This window comes from Homo sapiens, chromosome 1 (assembly GCF_000001405.40).
Source record: "Homo sapiens chromosome 1, GRCh38.p14 Primary Assembly".
Classification (NCBI taxonomy): Eukaryota; Metazoa; Chordata; class Mammalia; order Primates; family Hominidae; genus Homo; species Homo sapiens.
Genome location: NC_000001.11, coordinates 226998701 through 227019996, shown reverse-complemented (window position 1 = coordinate 227019996; position 21296 = coordinate 226998701). Strand labels below are relative to the sequence as shown.

Below are 21296 nucleotides of genomic sequence, written 5' to 3'. Positions count from 1 at the left end.
TGAACCTGGGAGGTGGAGGTTGCGGTGAGCTGAGATTGTGCAGTTGCACTCCAGCCTGGGCAACAAGGGCGAAACTCCATCTCAAAAAAAAAAAAGAATTATGGTAACTCTACTCTGCCTGTATTTTATAAGCAGAACAACAAAGTCTGGATGGCAACACATCTGTTTACAGGATGTCACTGAAAATTTTAAGCCCACTGTTGAGATCTACTGCTCAGAAAAGTAATACTTCTTTCAAAATATTACTGCTCATTGACAATGCACCTAAGTCACCCAAAATCTCTGATGGAGATGTACAAGGAGATTGATGATATTTTCACGTCTGCTAACACAGCATCCATTCTGTAGCCCATGGATAAAGGAGTAATTTTGACTTTCAAGTCTGATCATTTAAGAAACACATTTCATAAGGCCATAGCTGCCACAGATAGTTATTCCTCTGATGAATCTGGGCAAAATAGATTGAAAACCTTCTGAAAAGGATTCACCATTCTAGATGCCATTAAGAACGTATGTGATTCATGGGAGGAGGTCAAAATACCATCATTCACAGGAGTTTGGAAGAAGCAGATTCCAGCCCTCATAGATGACTTTTAGAGGTTCCAGAAATCAGTGAAGGAAATAACTACAGATGTGGTGAAAAGAGCAAGAGAACTACTAGAATTAGAAGTGGAGACTGAATTGCTGCAATCGCATGATAAATTTGATTGGATGAGGTGTTGTATCTCATGGGTAAGCAAAAAAAAATGGTTTCTTGAAATGGAATCTACTCATGGTGAAGATGTTAAGAACATTGTTGAAAAAACAAGAAAATATTTACAATATTACATACACTAAGGTGATAGGGCAGAGGCAGGGTTTGAGAGGATTCACTCCAGTTTTGAAAGGAATTCTACTGTGGGTAAAATGTTACCAAACAGCATCATTATGCTATGGAGAACCATCTTTTGTGAAAGGAGGAGTTAGTGTGGCAAACTTTATTGATGTCTCACTTTAAGAAATTGCCACAGCCATTCCAGCCTTCAGCAGCCACCACCCTGCTCAGTCAGCAGCTTATCCACATCGAGGTAAGACCCTCCAACTATCAACAAGAATATGACTCATGAAGGTGAAGATGATTGTTAGCATTTTTGGCAATAAAGCATTTTTAAATTATGGTATGTATTTTTTTTAGACACGTACTGTTGCACACTTAACAGACTACAGTATAATGTAAACATAATGTATATGCACTGGAAGACCAAAAAAATAGTGTGACTTGCTTTATTTTGATATTTGTTTTATTATGTGGTCTCAAATTGAACCTGCACTTTTTCCAAGGTATGCCTGTATTCTGTTTCTTAGAGGAACTCCACATATTTGTATAAGATTGGCTCCACCTTATTCTCACTGTGTGTGACTATGCTGGTCATAAATGTGTTCATACCCACTATGTGTCTATAAGACAAAACCTATTCTGACTTGTCTTTTCCCATGCTTTTTCATCTTTCTACTCTAGGCTAAGAGTAGAGGTAGATCTTGGAGAAGAGGGACCTGACAAAATTTTAATGTAGTTGTCTTTTTCTTTGACAAAGGAAGGAAAGCCCATCTCAAGAGGTCCTTTCTTTTTCTGTGTTTTGCTTTCTCCATCATTTCTTAAGAGGTCAAAGTGTTCCTGCAACCCTCTGCCTGTCCAAAATCTCCCATTGCCACCCTGAGTCTCCAAGACCTGCTTTACCCTCATAATTCTCAAATTCCAAATTTGTGTCCCACATTCTCATTCACTTCAAAAATTCTGTTCTTTGGCTGGGCATGGTGGCGCATGTGCCTGTAATCCCAGCTCTTTGGGAGGCCAAGACAGGAGGATCACTTGAGCCCAGGAGGTCGAGGCTGCAGTGAGCTATCATGGTGCCACTACACTTCAGCCTGGGCAACAGAGCAAGACCCTGCCTCAAATAAATAATAATAATAATAATAATAATAATTCTATTTTTAAAATATTTACTGTTAGGAAAGCAGTCTGCCTAAGCCATATGATTATGCCACGAGGATCATGTTGCATTTCTGCTAATTATCACCTTTGTTTTCTTCTAGGCTCGTTTGGCTTCTTCTCACCTCCTCCTTCTCACTTCAGCTTTTTGGGTGTTGAAAATTTCTAAACTTTGCTCTTTTTCCTTATCTTATTTAGATAATGACACCATTTGTTGTGTTATATGGATACAGTTGTCTATTTTTTTCTTATTTTCACACAGCCCAGCATGTTTTGGGAGTCCCTGGCAGACAGTTTTGTTTACTTCTAGATATTAAAACTGACATCGGATAAGACTATCACTGGGTTGCTAGGTGTATATGATTAAACATCATCTACCCCCAAGATCAGAAGAGGAAAAATAGCGACAGATTCTTACCTTTTATAAAGGAAGGGTAGTGGAAGCACAGCTCCTTCTTTTTACTCCGTATCTCATAGACTGAACCTTGCAAAGGAAATTTTTTTATTATGTAAAGATAGTTGTAATTGTTATTTACCACTTATGGTAAATCAGGCTTACCATTTATGCCTGATTACTGTTCAGGGTAACAGTAGTAGCTCTTTAACAACACCCTAAGCCATTGAAATCAATACCTGGAGGGAGAGAAAATATAGTATTGAGATACTGGGGTGGGGTGGCTGATTAGTGACAGAACACCAAGGCAACTGCAGTTTTCTTCTAGTAAAATTATGTCCTACTGTGTTTATAATCAAGTAAAAGTGAAAGTATATTTTGTAAGCTATGTTTACTTTCAGCATATTATCTGTTTACATAGGTTCTGTTAAATATTATTTACTGGGTTATCAACACAACATTTAAAAACCAGAATTGCATGTACTTGTACTATCAATGTTTGTACTGTCTTGGAGGTTAATAGATAAAAAGCATTTTAACAGTTTAAAGAACATCATTATCGTTTGTATTTTTATTTTAACAGAAGGGGACGAACTGGTAGTACCTGAAACATCAGATAATAGTCGGAAACAAATGGTTAGAAACATTAACAATAAGCGGCGTTATTCCTTCAGAGTCCCAGAAGAGGAAAGGATGCAGCAGAGGAGGTAGATACTTAACCTGTAGTATCATCCATGCTTGCTTGTACCATCAAGGACTACTCGGTGATGATACTATATTTGATTTGGAAGGAAAATTGGGTATCTGAAAATCTCATTGATCTGTGGTGTCAAAAACTGCAATAATGAATGTAACTTCTCAGTGTCATTTTAATTAATATTCTCAAAATTGTGAGTATGCACTGGATTAAAGTACCATATTTTTATTCACTTCATTCACTTCTCTATGTATATGGAATAGTCATATTTTTGGATTGTGTACCTTTCTACAGTATAAGCATAGGACATAGCTGTGCATACAGTAAACCTGTATATGTCTAAGAAGTTCAGACTAACTACTCTCTTCATGAGCAAACAGAAGTAGGACTGTAGTATTTACAGTTATATATAAGACCGTTTCTAAAGTGTTACCAATCATTTTTAAAGAGATACATAAAATGTTCAGAATTATATGTAAAACAAAGTAGAGCTTCTTTGATGTCTTAAGTATTTAAAAAGATCCTCTACTATTCCACCTAAAATCGTAAGATCTTTTAAAATTTAAAACAAAATATTCTAAGGAAGTACATTTTTAATTGAGTATATTCTGTTACTCTATATTCTTATTAATGTGATTTAACAGTTGTATTTTTATTAAGAAAATTAAGCTTAATTTTTTTCATAAGCTACATAAATTAACTGTGGAAAAAGTATCTAAACAGATGCCTTGTCTTACAGGGAAATGCTACGAGATCCAGAAATGAGAAATAAATTAATTTCTAATCCAACTAATTTTAATCACATAGCACACATGGGTCCTGGAGATGGAATACAGATCCTGAAAGATCTGCCCATGGTAAGAGGAATTAAGAGTGAGTGTAAAAAAGGGCGGGTGTGGGGGGAGTATAAATACATAGGCTTAAATACATGGGTAGACTTCAAAGGATATGTGAAAGTAATGAGGAAATGTTTCTCTCAGTATACCACAATATGTCTAAGATACATGATGACATACCTGATGAACAAAACATAAAATTTAGACATCTGTCAAAAGCCAAACAAATCAGGTTCTTACTTAGTTCCATATTGGAGAATTTCTCCCATGCCTAGGTTTACTATTGGTGGTGGAAGAAACTACCAAATTCGGAGAGGTTCTATACCACATTTGGAATGTGGTTACCAAATCACTAAAATTTCACTACGTGTTAGCAAATCAATACAGATATTTGGCCTACTCTTTTTTTTTCCTTCTTCCCAGAGAACCACATTAGCTTGGTTATTAATGGTCACATCTCTCCGACAGTTGTGAAATTAAATCGTTTTCCTTTGCCCATTTACAAACATGTTACCTGGTCAGTTGTACGTGAAAAAGTATAACATAGGCCAGGTGTAGTGGCTCATGCCTGTAATCCCAGCACTTTGTGAGGCCAAGGCATGAGGATTGCTGAGGCCAGGAGTTCAAGACCAGCCCAGGCAACATAAGCAAGACCCCATTTCTTTTTTTTCTTTTTTTGAGATGGAGTCTCATTCTATCACCCAGGCTGGAGTGCAATGGTGTGATCTCGGCTCACTGCAACCTTTGCCTCCCAGGTTCAAGTGATTCTCCTGCTTCAGCCTCCTGAGTAGCTGGGATTACAGGCACCCACCACCATGCCCAGCTAATTTTGTATTTTTAGTAGAGATGGGGTTTCACCATGTTGGTCAGGCTGGTCTCGAACCCTGACCTTGCGGTCCACCCACCTTGGCCTCTGAAAGTGCTGGGATTACAGGCGTGAGCCACCAAGACTGACCAAGACCCCATTTCTATAAAAACATTGCTGGTCATGGTAATGTGTGCCTGTAGTCCTGGTTACTCGGGAGGCTAAGGTGGGAGGGTTACTTGAGCCCAGGAGTTTGAGGCTGCGGGGAGCTATGATTGCCGTTGCATTGGGCAACTGAGCAAGACCCTATCTCAAAAAAAGAAAAAAAAGTACAACATTGGAGAACTATTCTGTTTTAACAATATGAAGATTAGGCTCTCAGACCGGTCATGTTTAAATTAAGAATATTAGTGGAATTAGCCAGGCTCTGTACATTTCAGTACCATAGTTCTCTCAGCATACTATTAAAACTTTAAAAATGACCCTTTTGATTGGTAGTGATAGCTGCTAAATTTTGCGCAGAATTTTAAGTATAATTCATATTTCATGGCCATTTGGGAGATGATTTGTGAATCTTGACCCAAATTGCTCTCTAAGGAAATCTGTCTTAATTAACCACATTATCAACACTACAGTGATAGAAGATATAAACATCTATCACTGACAGAGAAATTGATTGATAATATAATTCGGTGTGCAGTCAAGTTTCTTTAAATTAAAAAAAACGCCTTTTAAAGGGAGGTTTGCATTTATTTCATGGGAAGAAAACATATCTGCATTCAAGTCTGAGTTCTTCATTGTAAATATCTCAGTTCATCAGTTGGCTCTGCTTGCTTATGAATGAATGTGACATTCTTATTACCATTACCAATAATATCAAAATATTATTATATATTCATAGTAATATACTTTTCTTTGTGGAGTTCAAACCAGCCTCATTAATCACTTATGTTTTTGGAATAGGGTTGGCTGTGCTGAGTAAATATTTAAAAAGTGCAAAAACTAGATTACAGCTTATCTTGATATAGTACTTTTAAAAATTTTCAGGTCAAGCACATTAAATATTAAAACTATTATACTTTTCTATCATGTTTAAAAGCTATACTATTTTTTTTTCAACCTTTTTCTGGGAGTGAGATCTCAGATTTCTCTCCATCCTTTTCCCATTAGGAACATTTGCTTAAAGTCCTGAGTCTGGTTTTCCTTTAACCTCAGAAGTAAACATAGCATAACTATAGAGTCCAAAGCATGTTGTTTTTCCTTATGGAAGGTGGGATGTCAGGCACAAAATACCGTAAAGAATTTTTTAAATTGTGATAAACAATTGAAATGTGAATATATTTATGACTTATATTTGATAAGTCAAGTGCTGTGTAGTATTTTAATTAAACTTTTTAAATTGAGTTAGTAGTTTTTTCAATACATAATATGTAGTTAGAATTATGTAGGGGTAGCAGGATACAAATTTCAAATATGTAAGTTGCAAAGCAAAACATCAGCAAATATAAAATTATTTCAGTAGTTACAAGGTTTTAATAGATAGTCTTTTAAAATTTAAATTTTTTACACTTTTGTTTCATTTTACACAGAAAAGAATGTTTTTATCTCATACATTCCAACAATGTAGCTAGAAGTAGTATAGAAAATGTTTGTAGACATTCTATTCTAGCCCGCATACTACAGTGTTTAACAGAATGTTACTCTGCTTAGTATCCTTCTGCCATCAGGTGAAAAATCAGTTTGCTAATGTTCCAGAGTTCTTTCAGACCTTCATATCCAATAAGACTATGCACCTTGATGCCAAAATGTCAGATTTCAAACATTATAAGAACTTTTTTTATCAGAGATCCCTCCTCTACATTTTCTTCCCTCTTCCTTCCACCACTTTAAGAAAAAAAAAGAGATAAAAAGAAAAAATCTGTATCTTATTTTTTGTTCAAAATAAGGTCTATATTGATAAGCAAAACAAGTGAAGATAGCATTTTCCACAGAATCATTAGACTGCTTGGTTTTTAGTGTTTGTTGTCACCTGATTTTGTTAACACATGATAATCGTTCTTTTTGGCATTAACACAAGTGACTTTTTGCCCTCTCATTGCATTTCAGTTTTTAATGTACCTTTCATTGCTTTAATGTTTTCTTATCACGTAAGTGCTTTTGTATTTCCAGGACAAGAAGTTGGTGTAAATTTTTGAAACCTGTTTCTTCACCTGTACATGTAGTATGCATCAAAGATTTTATCTGTCTGAATTCCTCTTCTTCACAACCAGATTTTATTGTCACATGACTTTTTTCTATTTCACTACCAAAGGACATATAACCTGGGGCTTTTTTATAGGCATCCATTTAATCATCTAACAAATATTTATTGAGCACTTACTTTGTGCCCGGAACCATCTTTATCTCAGAGTAGACACTAGTAAATACAATAATATGCATGTCTGAAAATAATAATAATATGCATGCCTGTACTTGTGTATGTATCTATTGAAAAGCTTGTGATATTTTAATGTATTCTCAGTTGTTAATATGTTCTTTCCATTGAAATGGAATTATTACAAACTGTCTCATAAAATAAAGATGAATTAAATTTATCTAAAGTTAACATATATGTTTTTAAATACCAAAGCCACATGTTGTCATCTATTCAGAGAGCATGTGTCCCAGACATTTTTATATTTTAATTTATTCAAATCAGTATTGCTTTCCTGTGAAATACTTATAAGCTTAGAAAGTTTATTGTATGTCTTTAGAAATTTAATTCTGTTGCTTTTGTGCAAGATGTTCTTGAAACAGAATTGTTTGCTTTTTGAATGTGGAAGGAGAAGTGAGGCTAAGGGAGTCATATTCCTCTATCAGATGCAAACCTTTATTTGTATCTAAGTGAGCCAAGACAATATAAGCATTAATATAAGATGGTGTGTGTGGCTTATAAATAGATGCTATATTCATTTTCTTGAATTTTTAAAATAATTTACCGTTTTAATACATGGTTGCTATTTGTGATAAAGAACAAATTTTTCTCTAATTTGGATGCAAGAATAATACTTTACCTCTAGAAGACTTATTTTTAGCACATTACATTTCTCCTAGCTTTTTATCCATTACTAAAATTGTTAATAAAAGTATATTTTCGAGCTTAGTGACATCCTGGAGCTTTAAGATGTAATTTTGCTTCTTAAAGTCAAAGTTTCATGTACGTCAGTACAACCTCAGAGGGTACTGATTTTATTCATATATCTAGAATAAAAACAAGACCTTACAGAAGAGCCTTTCTTCTAAGGCTAGGTAATTTATGCAATCTTTTTACAAAGCAGGTTCATCTCAGCTCATGGGAACGTGAATTCCATGCTGGATTCAGTTAGCACTCTCTCCAACACGCCATTCACCCTCTGCCTCTAATGAAGGGATCATGTTTTCTGGAAACATAACTGTTCTTCAAGAACTGAATCTTGAAAATTCCCATTAGAGAAGGTGACTGGCTACTGAGTGATAGTTCCTGCGTAATCGGAAGTAGTTCTTTTATCTCTAAAAATAGTCCTTGGATTCAAAAGCTTTTTTCTATATCTTTGATATTACATTATTTCATTTTTAAAAAATATACCTGAACATTGAAGGGAAGATTTTTACCTTGTTAAGAAAACAAACATGTTCTTTTTGGGTGTCTAAATGGAGATAAGCTTGGGCTGCTTAAAGGTAAACCAATAATTAGTATATTCCATGGTTAACTGTTATAAGGAAATAAAATCAGTAAAAACAAACACATTATCAGGGAATGCTTTTACATGGTTTTAGATTTCTAAAGAAACAGTTTCATAACACGTCTATTTAGAAGCTGTTGTAGGTTCACTTGTTCATGTTCTTGCTTGTTTCTTGCTTTTTCTATCCTTAATGTTTTTGATAGATTTTTGCCATATTTTGATTGTGTTATTACATAAGAAAATACTGAACTAAACTCTGAAAGTCTTGTATCTCTGAAAGTCCAATTTCTCCTTACTTATTTTAATTAAAGAATAATTTTATAAAAAAGAATGATCTTTTGCAAATCAACTATTTAAGTAACTGGCAAGAGTATTACAAAATTTAACTTTCTAAGACCTAAAAGTATTTCATTAAGGATTCAGCTCTGATATCAGATACTATTCCATTTGTTCTGTGTGCATGTTTTGTGAAATGTGAATCCATTTTCATCACCTTATTGCCTTTTTTCATCTTTCTTTTGTTTTTGATAGCCAGGTTTCCCTTATCCATCCCCTCATCATCACTCCGGTCTGATCTCCTCTCCGATCAACTTTGAACACATCTATCACATGACTGTTAATTCTGCTGAAAAATTTCTCTCTCCTGATTCCATAAACCCTGAATATTCCCCGTCTCTGCGCTCTGTCCCTGGTACACCAAGCTTTATGACTCTGAGGGTATGAACAGCTGAGTCAGGTGTTAACTTTCACTAACCATGTATGGATTTCCTTTTGCCTGGCTTAATAAGTAACACCGCTGAAATGGTGCCATCTTGTGAACCTTTTCCTTTGGCCTATTTCTCTTCTGCCAAACTTCTCCTCTTCCTCTTCCTCCATGTATCTTCCTCTTCTTTCCCATTTCTATTTTGTTTCTTCTTTTGAGGAAGAAGATGGAGGAATAGGGAAGATTTCAATTTTCATTTTTGAAACACAGTATTAAAGATTTATCTATGTTTAATAAAAGTTTTTCCCATTGTAAGAAATAGCTCTCTATTCTGTTAAAACAAACAGGAAAGGGCTCCCAGAATTTCTGAATTTTTTAGCTCCTTACCCTATAACCAGTTCAATTCAGTGAAATGTTTTATATTTAGTGAGGTTAAAGTCTGTGGTAGAACCCATCCACAGACCTATCTACAATAAACCCCTTTTTGAAAAGCTTAAAAATCTCCAAAGTGAAAAGTTAAAAAATTAATATTAATGAGTAACAAAAATTCCAAAAATAAGTTAGATTTTACTAATCTTTGAGTTACTGAAATGCATGTAATTCCAACCAGGATCCAAGGTAAGAAAACTAAAGCAAAGAAAGAGGAAAATTTAAAAAGCATGCTGTATTCTGAAGGATTGTGGCAGCTGCTGTTGGTCTCTTCCATTCAGCTTGTATTTTTGCTACCAGTGGCTTTGCAGTAGGGTGGAGAGCTGGTGGCCATTAAAGCTGAATATTCATATGTCCATCAAGTGGTGTATGCTTACAGTAACTTCAAGGGAACATTTTCTGAAGTTAGTTTTGCAGGTAATAAAATGTTTATATTGTATCATGCAAACCACTTCCCATAATGTCCCCTAACTTACAACAATAGTAGATCAATTTTTGTATTTATATATGTAGAAATTTTCCAATTAGAAAATTAGCTGTAGGATGGGAAGTTTATTTTTTGTTGTTTGTATTATAAAATTATTCTAAATTATAATGTTTTAAATGTTACTGACATTTAAATTATTATATCACTTAAATATCTTATCTGACAAAATTAAATTAACCACGATAAAATAAGCCTGAGTTTGCTTAGACTGCAGGGAGTGGATTCCAGAGGAATTTTGTATATGTTAATCAGGAACTTTTCACTGGGCATGATGGCTCATACATGTAATCCCAGCACTTTGGGAGGCTGAGGCAGGAGGACCACTTGAGCCTAGGAGTTTGAGACAAGCCTGGGCAACCATAGCGAGACCCCATTTCTACAAAAAATAAAAATAAAAAAATTAGTTGGATGTGGTGGCACATGCCTGTGGTCCCAGCTACTTGGGAGGCTGAGGGGAGAAGATCACTTGCGCCTGGGAGGTCGAAGTTGCAGAGAGCCGTGATTGCACCACTGCACTCCAGCTTAGGTGATAGAGAAAGGCTATGTCTCAAAATAATAATAATAATAACTTTTCATATAAAAGACCATGGAAATGTTGCTTTAGTTAGTCATCTATAACTAGAAATACTGTGCCATCAAATGAAAGTCTCACCCTAATCTTATACATATTTGTACCTTGAAAGGACCAGAGGCTTAGGTTACTTGTCACTTTATAATGAAGTTTATTTAACTCTAGCGGACTGAATGATAAACTGTTTTTTAACAAAACTTTTTTTTGTCATTCCTTTATTACTTCAGCCTAAGTAATAAAGCTACTAAGTTGTTACTAAGTTTCAGATACAGTTTGTAGCCTTAATTTTTGCTATTTATTCTAGGATAGGTTTGTTTTATAGGAAAGGACAACATCAATGTATCTTAAGGTTTACAGAAAAACAATAAAAAAATGTATAGCCTGAAACGGATATTCCCATCTCCTTTGAGCTTTTCTTTGCTGCATTGTTCACATGCTGCTTGCGTCTTACAGGGTTGCTCTTGTATATGTGTCTGTTGAATTGCTAGCATTGACTATTTCCATTTTAATTTTTTTATTTTCTTAGAGAAAAAAAAAGCATTTGCTTTAAATAACGCACCAAGAATTACATGGACTTTGCAAATTTGGTAGATGAACCAAATTGATGTAGATGGCATGTAGATGGCAGCAGTTAAATTTGGGGCCAACTAGTTGCCAACTTTCAGTATGTGCGATTCTTCAAAATGTATGCTTTGGAGCTTTTCAAGTGGTATTAATGCATGTTTTCCTGAGTGCTGGCTTTGGCCCTTTTTTAGTTGTTTTGCCATAACCTTTTCTCAGGCATTTCAGGTGCATGTAGGAAAGCTCAGTGCTGCAAACTTTCTCTGAGCTCTAACCTCTCCTTGGAGTGAGTTTCACAATTGCATGGCAACTGGGAACTCAGTTTCCAGTTCTAGACTTTTATTATAACTTAAAAATATTTTTTAGCCACATTAGTACATTTCTTTATTGCTTGTTTCTTTTAACCTCAAAAGCCTTAAGTATTTGTGCTGATTTCATTGTATTCTGTGTTAAATTATTTAATCTATACCATATTATAGCAAAGAAGATAGTCATCTTTTAAGTGTTTGCATAAAATGTTATTTTGTATCTTTAAAACACACACAGGCCTGTAACTTCAAATCAATATTAACTAAACACTGTTTTACAGAAAGGATCATATTTTGAAATTACATTGCCAACTGAATTAATCTCAATACTCAAATTAGAAAATTAGGATTGCAGATATAATCTATTCATTTTCCATTTATTTATTCAGCAAATATCTTTCAGCACCTAACTATTTTAGGTGCTGGAGAGTTTAGTGTTGTTGTAATAACAGTCAGTATAAGAAATTATAAGATGACTAAAGAACTGAGGCTAGGGAACCATATGCCTGCTTATAACCAGGACAAACTGAACTGTCAGCCCAAAAGCTGAGGACCCTGAGGTGGTGAGTGTGGAGGAGGGTGTGCCTACCAACAGTGTTCCCCTGGGTTTCTATGTTTAAAGGGCAAGTATGAGGACGTTTAGTAAAATATGTAAAATGTAGTTTAAGCATTTAGGCCTTTTCTCTTGCTGAAACTTGTAAAACCATTTAGGTAAGATAGATTTCTATTAACGTTAAATAGCATAAGTCATGAATAAACATAAGTCATACCACAAAGTTTATCAATGTATGGCAGGTATGTGGATAAATTTCCCTATTGTATTCTCTATGTTAAGCTACTAGAAGAAAGAGTAATATTTTCTGAGCCCGAAATGATGAGAAAAGATTGTGTTTTTGAAACAGCAAAATTAGGCAGACAGTTGTAACATTTTTTTAAAAATACACTAGTTAGCTTGGTGTTCTGTTGCATTTGAAAATAGCATGATACAGTATCATCAACTCTTAAATTATGTTGGAAGAAAAGATAGGAAACACATCAAATTGTTATTAGTATCTGGTGAATTCACAGGTGACTTTTTTGGTCTCTTATAATTTCATTATATATTCTACAGTTCATGAGTATTACCTTTATAATCAGAAAAAAAGCAAACAATTTTAATGAACTAGTTAGCACTGAGAGAACACCAGGTTAATAAATATATCTTCCAGTCACATCTTGTTATGTCTTAGTGGCTATTACTATCTGTGTGATTTTCTGATGATGTAGAAAAGATAAAGGATTACCCTATAGTAATGGTAGCCTATAGCATTCTATGAAGAGAACATCTGTTTTCAAAGGAAAGTTGCATGTTATAGTTTAACTTGGAATTAAACTATTTGGCTTTACTTAACAAATTGATCCTTTGGAAAAGTCACAAAACTTGAATTTTTTACTGCTTTTAATGTGTGATTTTTTTTCATTGCATTTCCATTATAGAGTTAAGGTATTGTTTAACACATGTAAAATTTGTGATCCCCCCACCACCAAGCAGAATTGCTGGGGGGTTGTTGTTGTTGTTGTTGTTGTTGTTGTTGTTGTTGTTGTTGAGACGGAGTCTCACTCTGCAGAGTGAGTGCACGCCCAGGCCGGAGTGCAGTGGCGTGATCTTGGCTCCTCCAGCAACCTCCACCTCCCAGATTCAAGTGATTCTCCTGCCTCAGACTCCCGAGTAGCTGGGACTACAGGCATGTGCCACCAAACCCAGCTAATTTTTTTGTATTTATAGTAGAGACGGGGTTTCACCATATTAGCCAGGCTGGTCTCGAATTCCTGACCTCGTGATCTGCCCACCTCAGTCTCCCAAAGTGCTGGGATTACAGGCCTGAGCCACCGTGCCTGGCCAGAATGGCTGTTTCGATGTGACTAAAAGGAGGTTTGAAAGTGATACTGCAGATGGCTGTATGAGGTTGTTACTCATACTCATGAGGAAAGAAAGGCACATAGTGGGACTGGGCTACATGCTTGCTTTTTGCTAGTGTAATTAGCTTCATCCTCAGACAAGCCCCAGGAGGCAGTTCTTATCCTCATAATACAGCTGAGGGAACTGGGGCACAGAGTTTAGCAACCCCAAGCCCTGCTGTCAGTCAGCTGTGCAGCACAGATGTGAGTAGTGGGCCAAATCCCTCCATAGCCTGTGCTCACAGCCACCATGCTGCCTTTATGGCACACCCTCACAAACAGCCAATGAAGGAGAGGCTGGCTGACAATAGGCTAGTAAGATTACCATCATTTTTGTAGCTATGAAAGAAAAATCAATAAGGAGTAGATAAATCTTCTAAGTAAATACATATAAATCTGTTTATAAATTGTAAGAAATCAAATCCAGACCATTTGCATCAGAAGATGCTTACATGAGGCTGGGATTATGTGAAGAAATGGAGAAAAGCCTTATGAGTGTTAAAAGATGTTAATAACATGGTATATGTAATTTGTCTTCTCCAGGATTTATAAAGAATATTAAAATATTTTTCCCTCCTCTGGACTTGTGTCAGCCCCAACATCTCATCCTCCTGGTCTGAAAAAGATTGGGGCCTTTGGGGAGGCAGCATGCTTTCTGTTCTCAACCGTAATCAGACAGCTCACCCTGCACACCACCTATGTGGCTATCCTTTAGGCGTGTGTGATTTGCAAAACATTCTGTGGCCTATTTTCCTACCTCACACACTAAAATCATTCAATAATTAAATGGAAATATCAATAAGGAGTAGGTAAATCTTCCAAGTAAATGTATATAAACCTGTTTATAAACTCTTTGAAATCAAATCCAGACCATTTACATCAGAAATTAGTTTTCAAACTAATATTCCCAAATTAACTAACTTCACCTAGGTTGTGAGTATTGCAGCGTCTTATTTCTAATCCCAGTACTACTATTGGTGTGAGTCAGTAAAGATGCCTGGTGACTGGGGTGTGAACTTATAAATGGCACATTTGGTATCACATCAATAAAACATTTTCTTGAGAAGAATATAATTTTAGTAGAATTTTCTCCAAATGGACGTATCAGCTGTTAAGCAAATAAAAATGTCATACATAGTAAAAGCTTTCAGTTATCGGCAAATGTCCATGTAATTCTACAATTCACTGTCACATCTAACCATATAGCTTTTACTTACTGTGTTTACAAACAAAAAAATGCTGTTTTTTACTGATAAGTATTTCAGTAAGTATAAGTACTTATTCCTGATTAGGATGAGATTTACTTCATGTTAGGGTTTTATTACTTTTGTGGGTGGGAAAGACTATATAATCTGCCATTCCTTACTCTGTGTCATTCTGGTCAAGATGATTTTATTTCTTGGTAATTATAGTGAAAAATAGACATCTCTGCAGAAAAATCAGTTTCTTTCTGGCTAAAGGATGTCTCTCTCGCTTTTGTTTATAGAACCCTCGGCCTCAGGAAAGTCGGACAGTATTCAGTGGCTCAGTCAGTATTCCATCTATCACCAAATCCCGCCCTGAGCCAGGCCGCTCCATGAGTGCTAGCAGTGGCTTGTCAGCAAGTAAGTGCCGGGGCTACAGGAAGGTGCCTCTGAGACAGGGTGACCCCCAGCTCCCTCCCCTCCTGTCCCGTGGGTGACATGTCCTTCACTTACGTGTGCCCATTGCATTCTCAAGTGGCTGCAGTGTCTCAGACCCTGCTGGGTAATGCCTAATAGGCACAAATGCAGTTGTTAAGAAAATAGTCCCAGAGTCCTTCTAGAGTGTACAGGCCATCTGGGAGACAGACAAATATGATTACAAATTGTGATGATAAAGGCTCTGAAGGAAGTAAACAGCATACATTAATAGAGAATAACAAGGGGTAGCTGTTAGGGATGAATCCCTACTTGGCAGAATAATTAGGAAAATCACTCCCTAGAGGTGGAGTCATGTTTGAGTAATGTTTGGTTAACTGAAAGAAGGCTAGTATGGCTACATGGTAGTGGTGAGGAAGTAACAAAAATTAGAGCGGGGTAGCAGGTAAGGGTCAGACCAGCAGGGACTTGAAGACCAAGGTAAGACATTTTTTACTTTATTCAAAAGGAAAAGGAAGACTTTTAAGTAGGGAAGAATTTTCTTTCAATTTACATTCTTAAAACAATCCTGCGGGCTGCCAAGTGGAGAATGGACTAGAGGCAGGAAGAGTGGAAGCCAGCATCCAGATAGGAGACTCCTAGAGTGGTCCCAATGGAAACCAATGAGGGCTTGGGATGCAGCAGGGGCAGAAGGAGAGAAGATGGTAGATTCTCCAGATATATTTTCAGAGTTAAAAGCAGTAAGACTTGATGATGAATTAGTCATGGAAAAGTAAGGGAGAGAGTTAAAGATGACTCCCAGACTTCCTGCTAGGGCCTTAGTATGATACCATTTACTCCCATTTACCACCGTTTAAGAAGGGGCTGAGGCAGGACATTCCACGCATGTCCAAAGGTCCCGAGGTAGCAAAAAAAAAAAAAAAATGTATCTGTTTGATTCACTGAAAGAAGGCCAGGAATGGATTCAAGAATATACCCTTTACTACAATAAAGATAACATTCATGCAGTACACATGTTTGAGGTTCCATTAGATACCAACTCTTCTGCTGAGGTGCTGGGGGTAAAAATACATACATGACCTAGTACCTGCTTTCAGGTGTCTCACAGTCTTTATTAGTCTCTCTCTCCGTTTTTTTTGTTTGTTTGTTTTTTGTTTTTAACTGTACTCGGAACTGCAGCATCTCTTTTTTTACACTTTAAAACTAGAACCTTGAGCTAAGGGACCATAGAGAGAAAAAACTGTGCTCCATGGTGCACTTAGGTTCAGCTACTGTCGCGGAGCAGCTTTTTGGTGGGGGAGGAAAGGTGTGTAAAAAGATATTGTCTGCCTGAATAAAATTATACAAAGATGCTAAAGGCTACTTACCTCAAAATGAGAGAAATGTACAGATGGGACATCTGGCTGATTTAAAAAAGTAAATTTTACTCCCGTCAAATTCACTGCGATCTAAGATATTTCCTGGATTATAAGCAGTGCGATTGTAGATTATCAAGTGATCATTGTAGCTTCACTTGGGGAAGAATGTTCTTGGCTGAAGGTTGCTTTTCTGTAACTTTCTCAAGTGTGTGCTTTCCCGGGAGCATGGTACTTGCTTGGAGATCAGAGAGAGTGTCGATCGAGTGTGCCAGCGTAAGTGCAGTCCCCAAGTGTACCAGGTGCAACTTAGTGAAACCTTTTTTCACCTCCATGCAAATGAACTTTAAGAGAAAGTAACTGCACTAAATCCAATTTCACATTTAAAAGTCATTGAGTCAGAAAACTTACTTGTTCCCTTCTATTCTCGAATGTTACATATTTTGAATTCAAGTCTTCTGATGCAGATTGAGTTTCCTCCATTCATTTGCTCTTCATTCAGCAAATACTGATTTTGGCACCCAATTTGTGCCCAGGTATTTTTTTTTTAGATTCTGACGACATAAAGATGAATGATGCTGTATTAGTTATCTCTTGCTGCATAAGAAATTATCCCACAAATTAGGAGCTTTAAAATAGCAAACATTTATTATCTCATAGCTTAAAATAGCAAACATTTATTATCTCACACTGCCTCAGGGTCAGGAATCTGGGAACATCATAGACTGGATGGCTCTGGTTCAGGGTTTCTCATCAGATTGCAGTTGAGCTGTCTGCTGGGGCCACAGTCACCTCAAGACTCAGCTGTGACTAGGGAATCAGTTTCCTGGCTCACCCATGTGGTTGTGGACACGTCTGAGTTCCTCACTGACTGTTGGTTGGAGGCTTCCCGTTTTTGCCAATGTGGGCCTCTCCATACCCAGTGCCTGAGTGTCCTTATGGCCTGGCTGCAGGCTTCCTCCAGGGCAAGTGATCAGAGAGACAGAAGCAGCAGTGTTCTACCTAACCTCAGGAGTGCTGTATCACCACTTCTTCAGTATGCTGTTGATCACACAGACCAGCCCTGGTACTGTGTGGGAAGGGACTACATACGAGTGAATACTAGAAGGGACGATCATCTTGGAGCCTGGCTACAGACATAGAGCATGCTTTCAAGGAGCTTTCAATTGACAAGAAGATGTTGAAATGTACAGTTTGCAACTTTCTTGCCATTATCTCCTAACATCATCTGTACCCAGTATGTAGCCCTGACCACAATGAAAAAATCTTGCCAAGTGGGAAAATGACAACCACTTTTATTAATCTTTTTATTAGCGATAGCTAGATTTGATGATTGATGTAAGCTGTTACTAACTATAAGTTATCTAGAAGTCAGTTACAAAGGTTTTACAACTTTAGGAATTAAGTGATGGTCCATAATTCCTTACCTGAAACCCTTGAGGCCAGAATGTTTTTATGTTTTAGAAAGGGATCTACCATATATTATGTTATATTCCCAGCAAGATCCATGACAAACAAACACATTAAGTTCCCACGAACACATTAATACTTACACAGCAAAAGTTATGACTGTTTACACTGTAAATATAGGAATAAATGTAGTCTTTATAAATAAAGCCTAAAATCGGCCTCCAGGATTTTTTTGGGTTTTGTTGTTGTTTTGTTTTTTGTTTTGGTTTTGCGTTTTTGTTTTTTGTTTTTTGTTTTTGTTTTTTTTGAGACAGAGTCTCACTCTGTTGGCCAAGCTCGAGTGCAGTGGCACGATCTTGGCTCACTGAAACCTCTGCCTCCCAGGTTCAAGCAATTCTCCTGCCTCAGCCTCCCGAGTAGCTGGGACTACAGGTGGGTGCCATCACACCCAGCCAATTTCTGTATTTTTAGTAGAGACGGGGTTTCACCATGTTGGCCAGGCTGCTCTTGAACTCCCGACCTCAGGTAATCTGCCCGCCTCAGCCTCCCAAAGTGCTGGGATTACAGGCGTGACCCACCGCGCCCAGCCCAGTTCACATTAGGTTTTGTCATCACATGAATTTGCATCAAGCTTGTGAAAAAACTTTTGGTTTTCAGCACTTTTGGATTTGTGGAATTGCAGATAAAGATAGGCCCTAAACTGCAAAGATTTAAAGAGCCAAGACAGCCCATCTCCTTAGAAGTGCTGAAGTGAGGCTCCCATATCACTGCTGATGGCATGCAAACGACAGACTGGAGCTGGCCTGGCGTTCTTGTCAAGGCCCTTAACGCATTCATTGAGTTTGGCCTTTTTTATGTCCCTGGTTACCAGCTGCTTGTCCAGTAAAGATATAAGAGGAAAGACCCTCTCGGGAATGCCAAGGGGCATCTGGTGTTTAGAGTGCCTCCTGCTGGCTTCAAGACTAGCCCAGCTCATATAAAATGTTTCCAGAAGGACAGCCAGCCAAGAGAGGAACAGGCCAACTATGTTCAGTCTCTACAGCAAGAAGCACAGGATCTTCCACAGCCAGACTCAACGATTTCATGATGCAAAGTCAGATTGAAACAGCGGTGCTCACCATGCTTCCTTCCCTCCTTCCTAGTTCACCTGAGGAATGAGACCCGCTCCTGTCAGCAGTAGGGGCTCACTGGGAGCCTCCCAGACCCTCCTGGAAGTCATGCAGAGGTTGGATATTGCTCATCCCCAAGAGATTTAGGGCCCAGTCCCCAGAGTCACCACTTAAAACTCTCTGGAAGGGGCTGTATCCTGAGTACAGTATGTGGTCTCAGGCCAGAGGGTCCCCAGGCTCCTTTTGCTGTTCAATCAAAACAGCCCTGCCTTGATTTTTTTTTTTTTTTAAAGGTTGTAGTGTTTGAATGTAACCTTTCTTTGAAAAGAAAAATTCCTGAAGTTTAAAAGTGAAAAAAACATACTGGAAATCACTGGGGTGGGATTCAGTTCAGTTATCTGCTCTATAAATGATCACTAGGAAGGAGGGAGGCAGTGAAAAGACCAGAAGCACAGTGTGGGCCAGCACACACCTTCTGTCTTGCATGTTACTCTCCATGCATTGAGTGGTGAGTTGTTCCCACAAAGTCCTGTAAGGTAGAATTTATTTTTTTACCTAAAGGTGAAGAAAATGGAAACTCAGGAAGGTAAAATAACTTGCTTAAGGTCACACCATTAGTAAGCAGAGCAGTGGAAGTCTCTGGCAGTTTGACTTTCTGTGCAGAATAACAAAATGTTAAAGTAATTTTTTCATTATTTTTTGAACTGAGCACTAAACTAGACAAGGAATTGGAAGAAAACTCAAAAAATATTTTATGGCGTTCAATTAGCTCGTAATCTAAGGAGACACACGTTCCACATCAAAAAAGTAAAGAGTATATTTCCCAAGAAATATGTCAACAAATGAAGACCAGTGCATGTGGAGAAACCCAGTGGTGGGGATGGAGTGTTAGGGGAAACGTGTCTCCTGAGGAGTGAGGTTGTCAGTGATTCTCAGTCCGAGGGGCCTTCTGGAATCATCAGGAGAGCTTATTATTATTATTATTATTATTATTATTATTATTATTATTATACTTTAAGTTCTGGGATACATGTGTAGAACATGCAGGTTTGTTACATAGGTATACATGTGCCATGGTAGTTTGCTGCACCCATCAACCCGTCATCTACATTAGGTATTTCTCTTAATGCTATCCCTCCCCTAACCCCCCACCCCCCAACAGGCCCCAGTGTGTGATATTCCCCTCCCTGTGTCTGGGTATTCTCATTGTTCAACTCCCACTTATGAATGAGAACATGCGGTGTTTGGTTTTCTGTTCCTGTGTTAGTTTGCTGAGAATGATTGTTTCCAGCTTCATCCATGTCCCTGTAAAGGACATGAACTCATCCTTTTTTATGGTTGCATAGTATTCCATGGTGTATATGTGCCACATTTTCTTTATCCAGTCTATCATTGATGGGTATTTGGGTTGGTTCCAAATCTTTGCTATGGTGAATAGTGCTGCAATAAACATACGTGTGCATGTGTCTTTATAGTAGAATGATTTATAATCCTTTGAGTATATACCCAATAATGGGATTGCTGGGTCAAATGGTATTTCTGGTTCTAGATCCTTGAGGAATCGCCACACTGTCTTCCACAATGGTTGAACTAACTTATACTCCCACCAACAGTGTAAAAGCATTCCTAGGCTGGGCGCGGTGGCTCAGGCCTATAATCCCAGCACTTTGGGAGGCTGAGGTGGGTGGATCACGAGGTCAGGAGATCGAGACCATCCTTGCTAAGATGGTGAAAACCTGTCTCTACTAAAAATTCAAAAAATTAGCTGGGCATGGTGGCGGGCGCCTGTAGTCCCAGCCACTCGAGAGGCTGAGGCAGGAGAATGGCGTGAATCTGGGAGGCAGAGCTTGCAGTGAGCTGAGATCACGCCACTGCACTCCAGCCTGGGCAACAGAACAAGGCTGTGTCTCAAAAAAAAAAAAAAAGTGTTCCTATTTCTCCACATCCTCTCCAGAATCTGTTGTTTCCTGATTTTTTAATGATCACCATTCTAACTGGCATGAGATGCTATCTCATTGTGGTTTTGATTTGCATTTCTCTAATGACCAGTGATGATGAGCTTTTTTTTGTATGTTTCTTGGCCGCATAAATGTCTTCTTTTGAGAAGTGTCTGTTCATATTCTTCACCCACTTTTTGATGGGGTTGGTTTTTTTTCTTGTAAATTTGTTTAAGTTCCTTGTAGATTCTGGATATTAGCCCTTTGTCAGATGGATAGATGGCAAAACTTTTCTCCCATTCTGTAGGTTGCCTGTTCTCTCTGATGGTAGTTTCTTTTGCTGTGCAGAAGCTCTTTAGTTTAATTAGATCCCATTTGCCAATTTTGGCTTTTGTTGCCATTGCTTTTGGTGTTGTAGTCATGAAGTCCTTGCCCATGCCTGTGTCCTCGATGGTATTGCCTAGGTT

The 21296-nt window shown here is 37.6% G+C and overlaps 1 protein-coding gene across 25 annotated transcripts in view; it reads left to right on the top strand.

Moving 5' to 3' along the window:
• Nucleotides 1-21296, top strand: part of CDC42BPA (CDC42 binding protein kinase alpha) — a 328635-nt gene that overhangs the window by 298496 nt on the left and 8843 nt on the right. For 12 of the 25 annotated variants that reach the window (XM_017002580.3, XM_047432364.1, XM_011544309.4 and 9 more), the window contains 4 exons: nt 2947-3070; nt 3800-3917; nt 8934-9119; nt 14886-15003. In XM_017002580.3, the coding sequence (XP_016858069.1) occupies nt 2947-3070; nt 3800-3917; nt 8934-9119; nt 14886-15003 (546 nt within the window). Of the gene's footprint in view, nt 1-2946; nt 3071-3799; nt 3918-6870; nt 7296-8933; nt 9120-14885; nt 15004-21296 lie in introns of those variants that run through there. The other 13 variants (NM_001366011.1, NM_014826.5, XM_047432365.1 and 10 more) reach the window with 2 other exon arrangements.